We start from the raw sequence: 12,126 nt of genomic DNA on the forward strand, positions 1-12,126 counted from the left end.
TGAGATACTTTGTGATCCTAACACAACAAAAAGAGATATTTCTTATTGGAATTGGGGTTATAAACTTATGACTGTTCCCAAAACGTACCCTGCGCAACAGTCTATAAATGTTAACATCCAAGTTGTTTATTTCAACCTCCAACTGGTTTCTTTAAAGTTCTTAAATGTCTTTTACAAAACTATCAATGGTCCCCATGTATCATAAGTGCAGAAAGAAAACACAATATATATTTTAGAATTTAAATCATTTAAATAAATTGGTTGCACAAAGCTCTCTTGGCGGAGAATAAAGAAAATCAAAACTTACCTGAAGTTATTAATTTATTACAGCTACTTATGCTTGCATCATCTTCTACAATTCGGTTTGTGCTCTTTTCTTTCCCAAGTAAAGTGTCCTCCAAAGGGAAGCATTTATCAGAAACGACAGTGTCTTCAACGACCACATGACTAATTTTGCTATTAGCTTCAAGTACTGAAGTGACCTCTTCCAACTGAGCAGCTTCACTAGATTCTGAATAAGAGGAACACTTAACCTGGGCTAAATTCTTTGAAGAAACTGGTAGAGACTCATCATCACTATCAAATCCAAAAGGATCTCCAGTACTTTCTTCTTCCACTTTAGGTTTCTTCGGAATTTCTTGGATATCTGGTTTGAAATTGGGCCTCTTCTGCCCTAATTTAGCCATAAATGTGGTCTCTCCCCATTTTGTGCTAAGGGTAGTCCGTTTGTTGGAAAAGACTTCATCGAATTTTGAACTGCCATTTCCACCTTTCCTACTGTATGTTTTCCCAAATCTGGATGTCATTTTGACACCAGTTTCATATTCTCTGTGAAAAAAAATTTAAGAAAACATATAATCATCAAATACAAGTGTTAAACAGTGCATATAAAAATAAAAACCTAGGGATTCTTCCCTCATGACTTTTGACACTCACCACACAGACTTTTAAATAAACAAATATGAGGAAGGGGTATAAAGAAAGGCTGATTTATTACCCTACATGCTTCCATGTCAATTTTCCTCCACAATGAGTACATATTCCTACGCTACTTACAAAGTAAAAAAACTTAATGATTAACCAACTTATAATACGATATCCATAAAGCTAACTTAAAATGAAGCATATTAAGTTCCAAATGAATTAATTTACTATTCTTATAAACATCATTTTTACCTTAAAAAATTATCTGTATAGAGGCTGGGAGGCCGAGGCAGGCAGCTCACTTGAGGCCAGGAGTTTGAGACCAGCCTGCCCAACACGGTGAAACCCCATCTCTACTAAAAATACAAAAATTAGCTGGGAGTGGTGGCACGCACCTGTAATCCCAGCTACTTGAGAAGCTGGAGCAGAAGAACCGCTTGAACTCAGGAGATGGAGGTTGCAGTGATATAATGATAACCTGTATAGGGTAATTACTTATATAAAATCTTAAGCACAGAATGTTAGTTTTTTTCAGGGCCTCAGAAATATCCAATACTTGATTAAATTTAGTTCTTTGAAATTTCATGGCACTAATTCACATGAGAAAAAAGGTCCCCAAAATGGTGCTTTTTCTCATGTTTTACAACCTGCAGCTTTTAACCCAATCTTGAAGATTCTGCTTCTTGGTGTAATGTAATTTGCGCTGTGACTTTAAAAATGTTCCTTAGATGGTCATCTCCCTAGGGAAAGAAACTATCCTTATCCTATCTGCCTTGTCCCGATAGTGCTGTGCTCATTTGCTGAGTTATATTTTCTGGGGCTAGTGAGCTCCAGCATATTACACTGTTTCATGGATTAATACAGACATAGAAACATACAACTTTTATTTTCCTTTTCAATTTATAAATGGCAAATCGATTCACCTGATTTATCTACTTCACAGGACAAAAAAAAAAATCTTTAGGGCAGTAAATCAAGAGTCAAACATTTTTTAAAACAAGTTACTTGCATTAGTTCTGTGCCTATTAAAAAGTTATAGTACTTTTTAAACATGATCAATCAGTAACCGTTTGTCTAACACTTTGACCTTTCTACAGTTCAAACATGAATACATCGAATATAACTTTAAAAAGTGAACAAGGGCCTAAGGAATGAAAAATCATTACTTTGAAAGCTACAAGAATTGAAATTATATTTGACCTATACTTTTGAATATGTTTTGATCTACACTTGTTTTCCCTTGATTAACTTAAATTCTTACCATTTATAATGAGTCACTGTCTGAGTTTTATATAAATTCAGTAGTAGACCCCCCCCCATGTTTGGTGAGAACCCAATTTTAATTTGACAAGGTAATAATTTAGTCATCATACATATCTGCGTTAAGAGAAAACAGTGTTCCTGAAGGAGATGTATTTCATCTTCCACTGCAGCTCTAACACTAACAAGTCTTACTGTCTTTCTTGTTAAGTACAGCCTAAACAAAACAGGATACTGGGCAACTACCACGGACAACAAAATAAAAATCGATTCTCTGTTCCTTCAAGAATGTAAAGCTGAGATCCTGCAGGTCTGTAAGTGTACGTACACATACACACCAACAAAGATGGAATGTTTTGGATTCACTTATGTGCTAATCATCTAAAAATACTAACCAAAGGCCAAACCAAAAATCTAGACTTGAGTTCCTTTATGCCAACATCAGAAAAACTGTTAAAATGGTTCTATAACCACAAAGCATTCACTGTTGAAAGTTTGAAGTCTTCAGATGAATACCTGACACTAAGGACTTAATTATTTTATGTGATAAAAAATAATTTTGTGCTGGCTGGGGGCGGCAGGTCACGCCTGTAATTCCAGCACTCTGGGAAGCCAAGACGGGCAGATCACCTGAGGCCAGGAGTTCGAGACCAGCCTGACCAACATGGAGAAACCACGTTTCTACTAAAAATAGAAAATTAGCCGGGCGTGGTGGCGCATGCCTGTAATCCCAGCTACTCCGGAGGCTGGGGCAGGAGAATCAATTGAACCTGGGAGGCGGAGGTTGCGGTGAGCTGAGATCGCGCCACTGCACTCCAGCCTGGGCAACAAGGGCGAAACTCCGTCTCAAAATAATAATAATAATGATAATAATAATTTTGTGCCAAAAGACCACGTCTTTTACAAATACATAGTGAAATACTGATGAAATAACGTCAGCGATTTTCCAACATTAAGGAATGAGAAGTGTATAGATGAAATAAATTTGTTTAATAGTCACTGCTAAATCCAAGCGATGGGTACAGAGAAGTTCATTATATAATATCTCCTCCTGATTGCCTTTATCGTTTCCCACAATAAAATGTCTTTGCAATGGCATTATCTAAGCGTAAAGCACTACAGATTCCAAAATAAGTGTGCAGACGTCCTTGAAGTTAAATTTTAAGTGTTTCAAGTACACAATCTTGCTCAACCTTTAAACTCCAAAGACTGTCCTAACTAAAAAGGAAAGAATGATTGACGACTAAGTCTTTTCGGTCGTTCGGCTTTTGCCCTAGCCCAAAATCAGGTCGAATTTTGAGAGAAGTGCGCTGTGATTTAAAAAAAAAAAAAAAAAAAAAAAAGCAAAAAGCCTTTATACTTCACTCCCACCCTAATCTAGCGTCTTCCCGATCCCCAAAGGCTTTAAGGGCTTCCATTAAAGATGGAAAGCGGACGGGACGAACCTGACTAACCAGAAATCCTCACCTGGGGACAGCCGGGGCGCCACGGGCAGTGGGCGCGATGGACCCCTCGGACTAGACACTCAATGCAACTTTTCTCCTCCCAACCCGCGCCGCCCAGGAAAGGGAGGTCACTTTCGACGCCCCGGAAGCCTCTGCCACCGAATCCTTAAGGCAGTGCAAGGCCCCAGTGGCGGCCAGAGGCGGATGAAACCACGGGAAAGGACTCGGGGCTGAAATCAACACACTTGACTGGGTTTGGGGAGCTAAGTCAATCAGCAGTCGCCCGAAAAAGAACTCCGAAAAAGGAAAATAAAAGGGGAAAAAAAGAGTTCCTCAGGTCATTCCCCTGCCCAACTTCCTCAGCGGCCCGGTGGGCGAGGCAGTGAGACTTCCACCGCCCGCTCCCAGCCTCTGCCTCCCCCACCCTCCCGGCTCCCTCCCGGCCTAGGCGGCCGCCCGACACCTCACTTACCCTCGGAGCCTGGCGGGTGCTTTGGCCACGGGCCGCCTCCGCCTCTCCCGCTCCCTACGGCCCGCGGGCGGGCGCGGAACCCTCGCGCGGGAGAGCAGGGCCGGCAGGTGAGAGCCGAGAGAGGCGAGGGACTCTGCTTTCGGTAAATAGGAAGCCCGGTTGGGGGGGCAGGAGCGGCGGCCCCGCAACTTCCCTCCCCGCCTCGAGCGCCGCCGGCCGGGCCCAGGCCTAGCTCTCGCTGGCCGCCACTGCTGGAGCTGGTAACAGAGCCTGCTGTGTGCCCCCGCTGGGCCGCCGCCGCCTCCTGCGCCGCCGCTTCCGCCGGTGAATGGTCAGTGCTGGAGTTTGAACAGGGCCCTGAACCATCTCAACGCCATTTGCGCTCCCGGCCCCCACCTCCTTCCTCCAACAGCCGCTCGCTCCGTCACTCCGCTTCCCACAGTCCCCGCGCGGCCGCCCGACCCCGCAGCCAATCGCGCAGCCGCTTACTCAAACCGCCGCGCAGGCGCTGCGCCCCGCATGCTCCGGCGCCCGCCATTGGCCCGGCCGCGGAGCCCGACGGGAGTTGTAGTCCAGGTCCGCGAGGTCGCGGGCCGAGGACCAGGCGCGGGAGCGGGAGCGGGCGACTGGCCGGGCCCTCCCGGTCTCGGCAGCCACTTCTAGCTCCCGGCCCAGCCGGGAGACGCAGGTGCCACGGAGATGGGCAGCCGGGCGGGTGGCGCAGTGCAGGCAGCTGTATCAATCGCTTCCCCTCCAGGGACCCGCCGGTGCCTGGGGACCGCGGGCTGTGCAGCTGTGCCGGGCCTGCGGAGGCCGCCGCCCGGGAGCTGGGAGGCAGGGGGCGCGTGGTCAAGAGCCGCCCTCGACCTGGCCTGGTCGGTCCTGGCCCGGCGTAGGTGACGATGGCGGGGACCGCGAGGCGCCGGACACCCGAGGCCACGAGCAGCGTCGCCCCTCGCTTTTTCGCGCCCCTCCAGCCCTGCAGTCCTTCCTCTAAGTCCGTCTGCCCCTCACCGATTGAAAGTGGCCCCGAGAATATTGGATGGTATTGAGCAATTATCATTAACTTTGTTGGGTGTGGTAACGGTAATGTGGTTATGGTTTTTTGTTTTTTTTTTTTTAAGACCTACTGATGTGTTGACAGAGTGATCTGGTGTCAGGACTGTAAAATACGCCTATGAAAACTGGGGGAGAGGAATAAAACAAGCTGGCAGAACGTTTTTCATCGTTGAAGCTGCGTGATGCGAGCATATGTGCTCATCATACAGTCTCTTTACTTGTGTATCTGAAATTTTCCATAATAAAAAGTTTAAAGAAGTGAACCAGCGATTGCCTCTAGGGAGGACAGTGAGGTGGCGGATGACGGGAGGAAGGAGTCTTAATTTTTCGCTGTACGCCTTTTTGTGCTATCTTAGGTTTTTCCCATTCAATGTGTTACCTAATTCAGAAAATTGGTAAGTTTTTTTTAAGGCTACCATGGGAAAACAGCGTTCTAAAGAGTAGCGCAACCAGTTCCCCCTAAGAGAGGTGCATGATTCGTCGGACTCCGACAGCCTTGGTGTTTGTTAGGCGGTTAATGGAGACCCACCTGGGAAATTAGAAAACTACTAATTGCTTTCAGTGAGAAGCCCGCCCTTCTCCCACAAATGGATAATTTGCTTTTAATGCACCCAGAAGTTATCCAGCTCCCTCCGGTATAATCGGGGAAACTCCAAATAAAGGAAAAATAGTTCAGAGACCCTGCAGCTCTTCCCAAGAGGAATTTAAGGTGGATTTTAGTGTGGTTGGATTGTTTTGCCTACCTGACTGCAGAATTTATATTCTGACATTTACAATTTCCTAAATACTGAATCAGTACTTTTTCTTGTTTCAAAATAAATCAACTTCTTCTGTAGTTTATATGAAAAACAAGTCCATGTCTTCCACTGTGGGTGGGATGCACATGACTGTTTTATTTGGGTCAGTTTTGTCTCTTTTTTTAATTGGCAGTTTAGGAACTTGTTTTTATCATTTTGTTTAAAGATCTTCTGGCAGAGGTGCAGGCTGCACTTACTATAATTATTTAGATGACAAGGTGGTGGGTGGTAATTAAAGGGTAATTATCATCAGAGGCAAAAGGTAAGATCAAAAAACCAGAAGAGGTGAGGAAACAATTGCAAGATCTTCCTGTAGGAGGGTGTCGTGATCCTCCCAAGACCAAAGGATATGTCTATTATGCCTGGCCTCTCTAGTGCTGGACACTTGGCAGGGTCAGTGCCTGCATGAGGCTGAAGTGGAAGGGCTTATTGTTTAGACTGGTGCCTTTTGAGGGCTTTTATGTGATGGTTGTGTTAAGTAATGAAACTTAGTAGTGTCAAATTCTTGCCACTCAAAGAATGATCCCCAATCAGCAGTGTAGCATCACCTGGAAGCCTGTAAGGAACGCATAATTCCTATCCCTCACCCCAGCTCCACTGAATCAGAACCTGCATTTTAACAGGATTCCCCCAGCTGATTGGGCTGCACATTAAAGTTTGACAAGCACTGATTTAAAGTATACCCATAGCATTTGACAGCAATCTAGTATTTTTCGTTAGGATGAGGGAGAGGAAGGGAGATGATTAAGAACCTCCTATGCATCAGGTAAGATGCTAGGCTGTTCAGGGGCCTTGTCTGCTTCCCAGTCCATTACTCTATCTTACAAGTAAGGAAATGGGAAGACTTGTATGTTACAACTAATGAGGGAGTCAAACTTTTTCTTGACGGTTGGATACCCTTTAGTACTTCTTGGTGTTCTTGAATCTGGTAGAAAGTGGTACATGATTTGAGAAGTAAAGTGTGTGTGAGTGTGTGTGTGTGTGTGTGTGTGTGTGTGTATTTAGTCTGTGGAAGCTTAGTATATGAATATTAAGCAGAGCTCTTCTGGGCTCTGTACCCTTGTGTGGCTCACACTAAAGACACCCCTCGGGCCCCTCCTGGAGGGAGTTCAGACTCCTGGCCCTGCAGGCTGTACCACCACCTTAACCCCTTACCTCCCTGCTTCCACTGAGGCAAGCAAATGCCCTGAAGTCCCCTCATTCCCTTACCAGGGCCCTGGGTTCCACACCAGAATGAGCAAACAGAACTCCAGTGTGGGTAACACATGGCTGAACAGCTTTTTGTTGTATTGTTTTTGTTTTCTTAGTTCTCTCAGCTCAGGCTCCATCCCCCTGGCCACCTCAACCCCTAGAATGGTTGTCTCCATTTCATGAGAATCTTCACACTAACATCAAGTAGCCAGTAGGTGCTTTTGGTTTTGCTAGAATGCCTGTGTGCAAGCTCTCAGATACCTGATTTTCTTTCCCCCACTGAATGTTGTGTTTGTCAGAAACTGAAATCATGGATCAGAGCCAAGTTTGTAGTACCCTTAGGAGGGGCCTCTGCCCTCCTGTGTGCTGCCTGGGTGAGGACAGAACCCCCTAACCTGGAGCTCCACTTGAGTGGGCCCATACCTGTACTTTCCTCTGAAAAAAGAAAATCCTGCAAAGAAAATAGAAGACATCTGTTCTGCCATTGCCATGCCCTTGTTCTAGCCCAGACATGAGAACTGTCAGAATTGGAGTTACTAAATAGAACTTTTAGTCTTTTTCTGATAATGTGTAGTAAAGTGTATTACAACTTATAGAATTCTATTTAGGGAACTACAGGTCAGAAACTACCATATTGGTAGCAGTCAATTTTTCTTTGCCATCGGATGTGGAATAAAATGTTAAATTGTACACTTGCATGTTGTGGTTATATTACAAAGCTCTACGAGATGTGGGCCAGGCCCTGCCCTTTGCTCATGCAGCCCCAACTTTCTGCTCTGCCCACACCTGACTCCTTGCTGTTTCCCCACCTTAGGGCCTTTGTATTTCCTATTCCCTCTGCCTACAACTCCCCCAGATACCAGCCTGCTTCAATTCTCTCCTCTAGGTTTTCACTCAGATGGGACTTTTCAATGAATCTCCCCTGACCAACCTATCTTAAATTGTTGCAACATCCTCACTCCTAAATGTCACTGTCCCTGCTTTACTTTCTTTAAGGGCATTTATCTTCCCATCTAACATATCAGGCATTTTGCATGTTTATCTTAAATGTTGTGCTCCCTCTGAAGGCAGGGATCTCTGCCTGTCTTGTTTTCTGCTGCAACCCTAGCACCTAGAAGACTGCCTGGCACAAGAGTAGGTGCTCAATAAATATTTGTTGAATAAAAGCACCCATTTATTTCCTTCTTTCATGTAAAATTATATACATATATTATATATATATATATATATATTTTTTTTTTTTTTTTTTTAGACGGAGTCTCGCTCTGTCACCAGGCTGGAGTGCAGTGGCGCGATCTCGGCTCACTGCAATCTCTGCCTCCCTGGTTCAAGCGATTCCCCTGCCTCAGCCTCCCCAGTAGCTGGGACTACAGGCGCACACCACCACACCCAGCTCATTTTTTGTATTTTAGTAGAGATGGTGTTTTGCATGTTGGCCAGGATGGTTTCGATCTCTTGACCTTGTGATCCGCCTGGCTCAGCCTCCCAAAGTGCTGGGATTACAGGTGTGAGCTACCATGCCTGGCCACATTTTTTTTTTTTTTTTTTTTTTTTTTTTTTGGTGACAGAGTCTTGCTCTGTCGCCCAGGCTGGAATGTAGTGGCACGATCTCCAATCACTGCAACCTCCACCTCCAGGGTTCAAGCCATCCTCCCACCTCAGCCTCCCAAGTAGCTGGGACTACATGTCCATGCTATCATGCCCCACTAATTTTTGTATTTTTGGTAGAGATAGGGTTTCACCTTGTTGCCCAGGCTGGTCTTGAACTTCTGGGCTCAAGCCATCCACCTACCTTGGCCTCCCAAAGTGCTGGAATTACAGGCATGAGCCACTGCCCCTGCCTATATCTTGAAAGGAAAGTGATAAAACTATCAACAGTTTCACATAACCTGGTAGCTCTAATAAAATGTTAACTGGGTTTTCACAATTGGGAGGGGAGTGCTTTCTGGAGAACTTTTGTTCTTGCCTTGGATAGGTTTTCATTCTGAGAATTGAGAAAATGAGTACTGTTATAATCCCAATTATCATATTTCCCAGGATAATTGGAATATGTTCTCTGGAGATAGTGACGTCCTCTGGGGAATACACTGCTGTCTAGGTAGATGAAACACAAAGCAAAGGAAATTCTCTAGGAGCACATTGCCTGACAAGGACCGGTACAAGCAACCTCGAAGAAGTCTGGCTTCCTGACCCTTGTCCTGGAAACAGCCCTTTTTTATTCAGGATCCTCACCCTTAATACTGTATGATACCCGCCTAGTCAAACACCCTGAAGGGTCCTCCTGTAATACTAAAATCCAAAGTTCTTAACGGTGAAAAGGCCCTGCATGATCTGGCCCCTGAGTACTCCTATCCCTTCCTACCTTGCCGGGCCTGCCTCTGTCTACTACTAGAACATGCCAAGCCAGCTCCTGCCTGTGGGCCCTCTTCGTACTTGTTCCCTCTGTTAGTCCTCAAGAGACACACACAACTCATTCCCTGCATGCTTTCAGGTCTTTGCTCAAGTGTGTCTCTCAGTAATGTTTTCCTTGGCCATGCTATTTAAGGTCATCCAGCACCCTGTATCTCCTTTTCCCTGCTGCTTTTCTCCATAACATAGTCATTACGTTTGCTTTGTGTATGAACTTGTTTATTATCTATTTCGTTTCACAAGAATATAAACTCCATGAGGACGAGGATGGCTGACTTTTGTTCATTTTATATGCCAAGCACACCTAGAATAGTGCCTCACACACAGAAAGTGTGCTATAAATATTTGTTGACTGAATACCTGGATTAATTGAAGCTTTAAATTGTGTTCAGCGGCCAGGCACGGTGGCTCACGCCTGTAATCCTAGCACTTTGAGAGGCCGAGGCAGGCGGATCATGAGGTCAGGAGATCGAGACCATCCTGGCTAACACGGTGAAACCCCGTCTCTACTAAAAATACAAAAAAATTATCTGGGCGTGGTGGCGGGCACCTGTAGTCCCAGCTACTCAGGAGGCTGAGGCAAGAGTATGGCATGAACCCAGGAGGCGGAGCTTGCAGTGAGCTGAGATCACACCACTGGACTCCAGCCTGGACGACAGAGCGAGACGCCGTCTCAAAAAAAAAAAAAAAATTATGTTCAGCTTACACTTGTAATCTCAGCGCTTTGGGAGGCCAAAGCAGGTGGATCATCTGAGGTCAGGAGTTCGAGACCAGACTGGCCAACATGATGAAACCCCATCTCTACTAAAAATACAAAAATTAGCCAGCCGGGTGGCAGGTACCTGTAATCCCAGCTACTTGGGAGGCTGAGGCAGGAGGATCACTTGAACCCAGGAGGTGGAGGTTGCAGTGAGCCAAGATCACACCATTGCACTCCAGTCTGGGCAACAAGAGCAAAACTTTTTCTCAAAAATACTAATAAGTTATGTTCAACTCTTCTATATCTTTAATAATTTCTTTTGTCTGCTTGACCTATAATGGCAAAACATGCATGAAAACCTCCCACTATAAGAGTAATCTTTTTCATTTCTCCCTGTAGTTCTATTTTTCTTTCTGCATTTTGAGGCTATTTTATTGGGCACATACTGTACAAGTTAGAATTGCTATCTCTTCCTGGTAGAATTGAAAGCTTTTAAAGTAATATGGGAGATAAATTGCAAAAATTGCCTGAATTTTCCACTCACTCCTCCCTGTAGCCACACCTTTTGCAATGTGACTTGGCAGCTCCTCCCAGAATCTCAGCTGGATTTTAACTCACCTTGGCCTAAAGAAAATGACAGAAGTGATAAAGTCCTCAGCCTGAGCCTTAAGAAACCTTAAACGCTTCCACATTCTCTTTGGGATCCCTGCTTCTGCCATGAGAACAGGGCTGGGCTAGTTTGATGGAAGATGAGAAGCCACATGGAAAAGAGCTGAAGTCTTCCCTGACCTGTGAATAGCCAGCAGACCCCAAACATGTAAGCCCAGCCAGGAGCAGCATGGCCACCCACCTGACCTGCAGCCACCCAAAGATGTAGATGTGAGCGCACCTGGGACTAGAACTGTCCTGATGACCTGTAGGCCCATGAGTAATAATAGCTACTTATTATATTAAGCTTCTGAATTTTAGAGTGATTTGTTATACAGCATTGTGACAATAGATAATTGATAACAACTAGTGATTTTCCCGTTGATAATGCCTCCTTTTTTGGGGTCTCAGCCTCCAAAAGGCTTTCCTGACTACCTAGGCAATCTGAAGCAGCTTCTCAGTCTCTATCATAACACTGGTGTATTATTAACACCAGTCTCCCAAATTATCTCTCTTTTTTTTTTTTTTTTTTTTTCAGATAAGGTGTCCCTCTGTCACCTAGGCTGGAGTGCAGTGGTGCACACACACACGGCTCACTGCAGCCTTGCCCTCCCAGGCTCAGCCTCCTGAGTAACTGGGACTACAGGCAAGAGTGACGCCCAGGGAAACATTCAAAAAATGAATTTTTTTTTTGTTTTTTAGAGATGGGGTCTCACTACATTGCCCAGGCTGGTCTTGAACTCCTGGCCTCAAGCAATCCTCTCACCTGGGCCTCCCAAAGTGCTGGAATTGCAGTTGTGAGCCACCACACCCAGCCTGCTTACTTTTGTTTGTTTGTCTGTTTGTTTGTTGTTTGTTTTTGAGACAGGGTCTCTGTTGCCCAGACTGGAGTGCAGTGGCACAATCTCGGCTCACTGCAACCTCTGCTTCCCAGGCTCAAGTGATTCTCCTGCCTTAGTCTCCTGAGTAGCTGGGATTACAGGCATGTGCCACTACCACCCGGCTAATTTTTCTATTTTTAGTAGAGACGGTTTCACCACGTTGGCCAGGCTGGTCTTGAACTCCTGACTTCAAATGATCCACTGCCTCGGTCCCCCAAAGTGCTGGGATTACAGGCGTGAGCCACCACGCCCGGCCGCCCAGCCTAGTTCTTTATTATCTGTCTTCCATGTTAGAATGTCAACTGTGTAAAGGCAGAGACCTTGTCTGTTCTGCTCTCTG

General features: G+C 45.4%; 1 protein-coding gene and 1 long non-coding RNA gene across 4 annotated transcripts in view, besides 3 other annotated features; one reads left to right on the plus strand and one right to left on the minus strand.

The window, feature by feature from the left end:
• The window catches only part of WAPL (WAPL cohesin release factor), an 86,537-nt gene extending 82,008 nt beyond the window's left edge, over positions 1–4,529 (minus strand). For both annotated transcript variants that reach the window (NM_001318328.2, NM_015045.5), the window contains exons 1-2: positions 4,102–4,529; positions 308–828 (exon numbers count right to left, since the gene is read on the minus strand). In NM_001318328.2, the coding sequence (NP_001305257.1) occupies positions 308–806 (499 nt within the window). In that variant the 5' untranslated portion in view covers positions 807–828; positions 4,102–4,529. The remainder of the gene's footprint in view (positions 1–307; positions 829–4,101) is intronic.
• Positions 4,023–4,442: a silencer, noted in NCBI's record as "silent region_2569". NCBI's record gives its function as "represses an Ori minimal core promoter by ATAC-STARR-seq in GM12878 lymphoblastoid cells {active_cell/tissue: GM12878}" and the evidence as "EXISTENCE:reporter gene assay evidence [ECO:0000049][PMID:35858748]".
• Positions 4,583–5,142: a silencer, noted in NCBI's record as "silent region_2570". NCBI's record gives its function as "represses an Ori minimal core promoter by ATAC-STARR-seq in GM12878 lymphoblastoid cells {active_cell/tissue: GM12878}" and the evidence as "EXISTENCE:reporter gene assay evidence [ECO:0000049][PMID:35858748]".
• WAPL-DT (WAPL divergent transcript) lies at positions 4,684–7,838 on the plus strand. Of its 2 annotated transcripts, none has more exons than NR_186499.1 (2): positions 4,684–5,146; positions 5,226–7,838. It is a non-coding gene; the product is annotated as a WAPL divergent transcript (long non-coding RNA). The 2 variants fall into 2 exon arrangements; NR_186498.1 differs by having other exon boundaries at positions 5,246–7,838.
• Positions 11,968–12,126: a silencer, noted in NCBI's record as "fragment chr10:88288988-88289146 (GRCh37/hg19 assembly coordinates)". NCBI's record gives its function as "represses an EF-1alpha promoter that drives an FKBP-Casp9 reporter gene in an ReSE screen in both phorbol 12-myristate 13-acetate-treated (for megakaryocytic differentiation) and untreated K562 erythroleukemia cells {active_cell/tissue: K562 | K562(+PMA)}" and the evidence as "EXISTENCE:reporter gene assay evidence [ECO:0000049][PMID:32094911]".

This window comes from Homo sapiens, chromosome 10 (assembly GCF_000001405.40).
Source record: "Homo sapiens chromosome 10, GRCh38.p14 Primary Assembly".
Taxonomy (NCBI): Eukaryota; Metazoa; Chordata; class Mammalia; order Primates; family Hominidae; genus Homo; species Homo sapiens.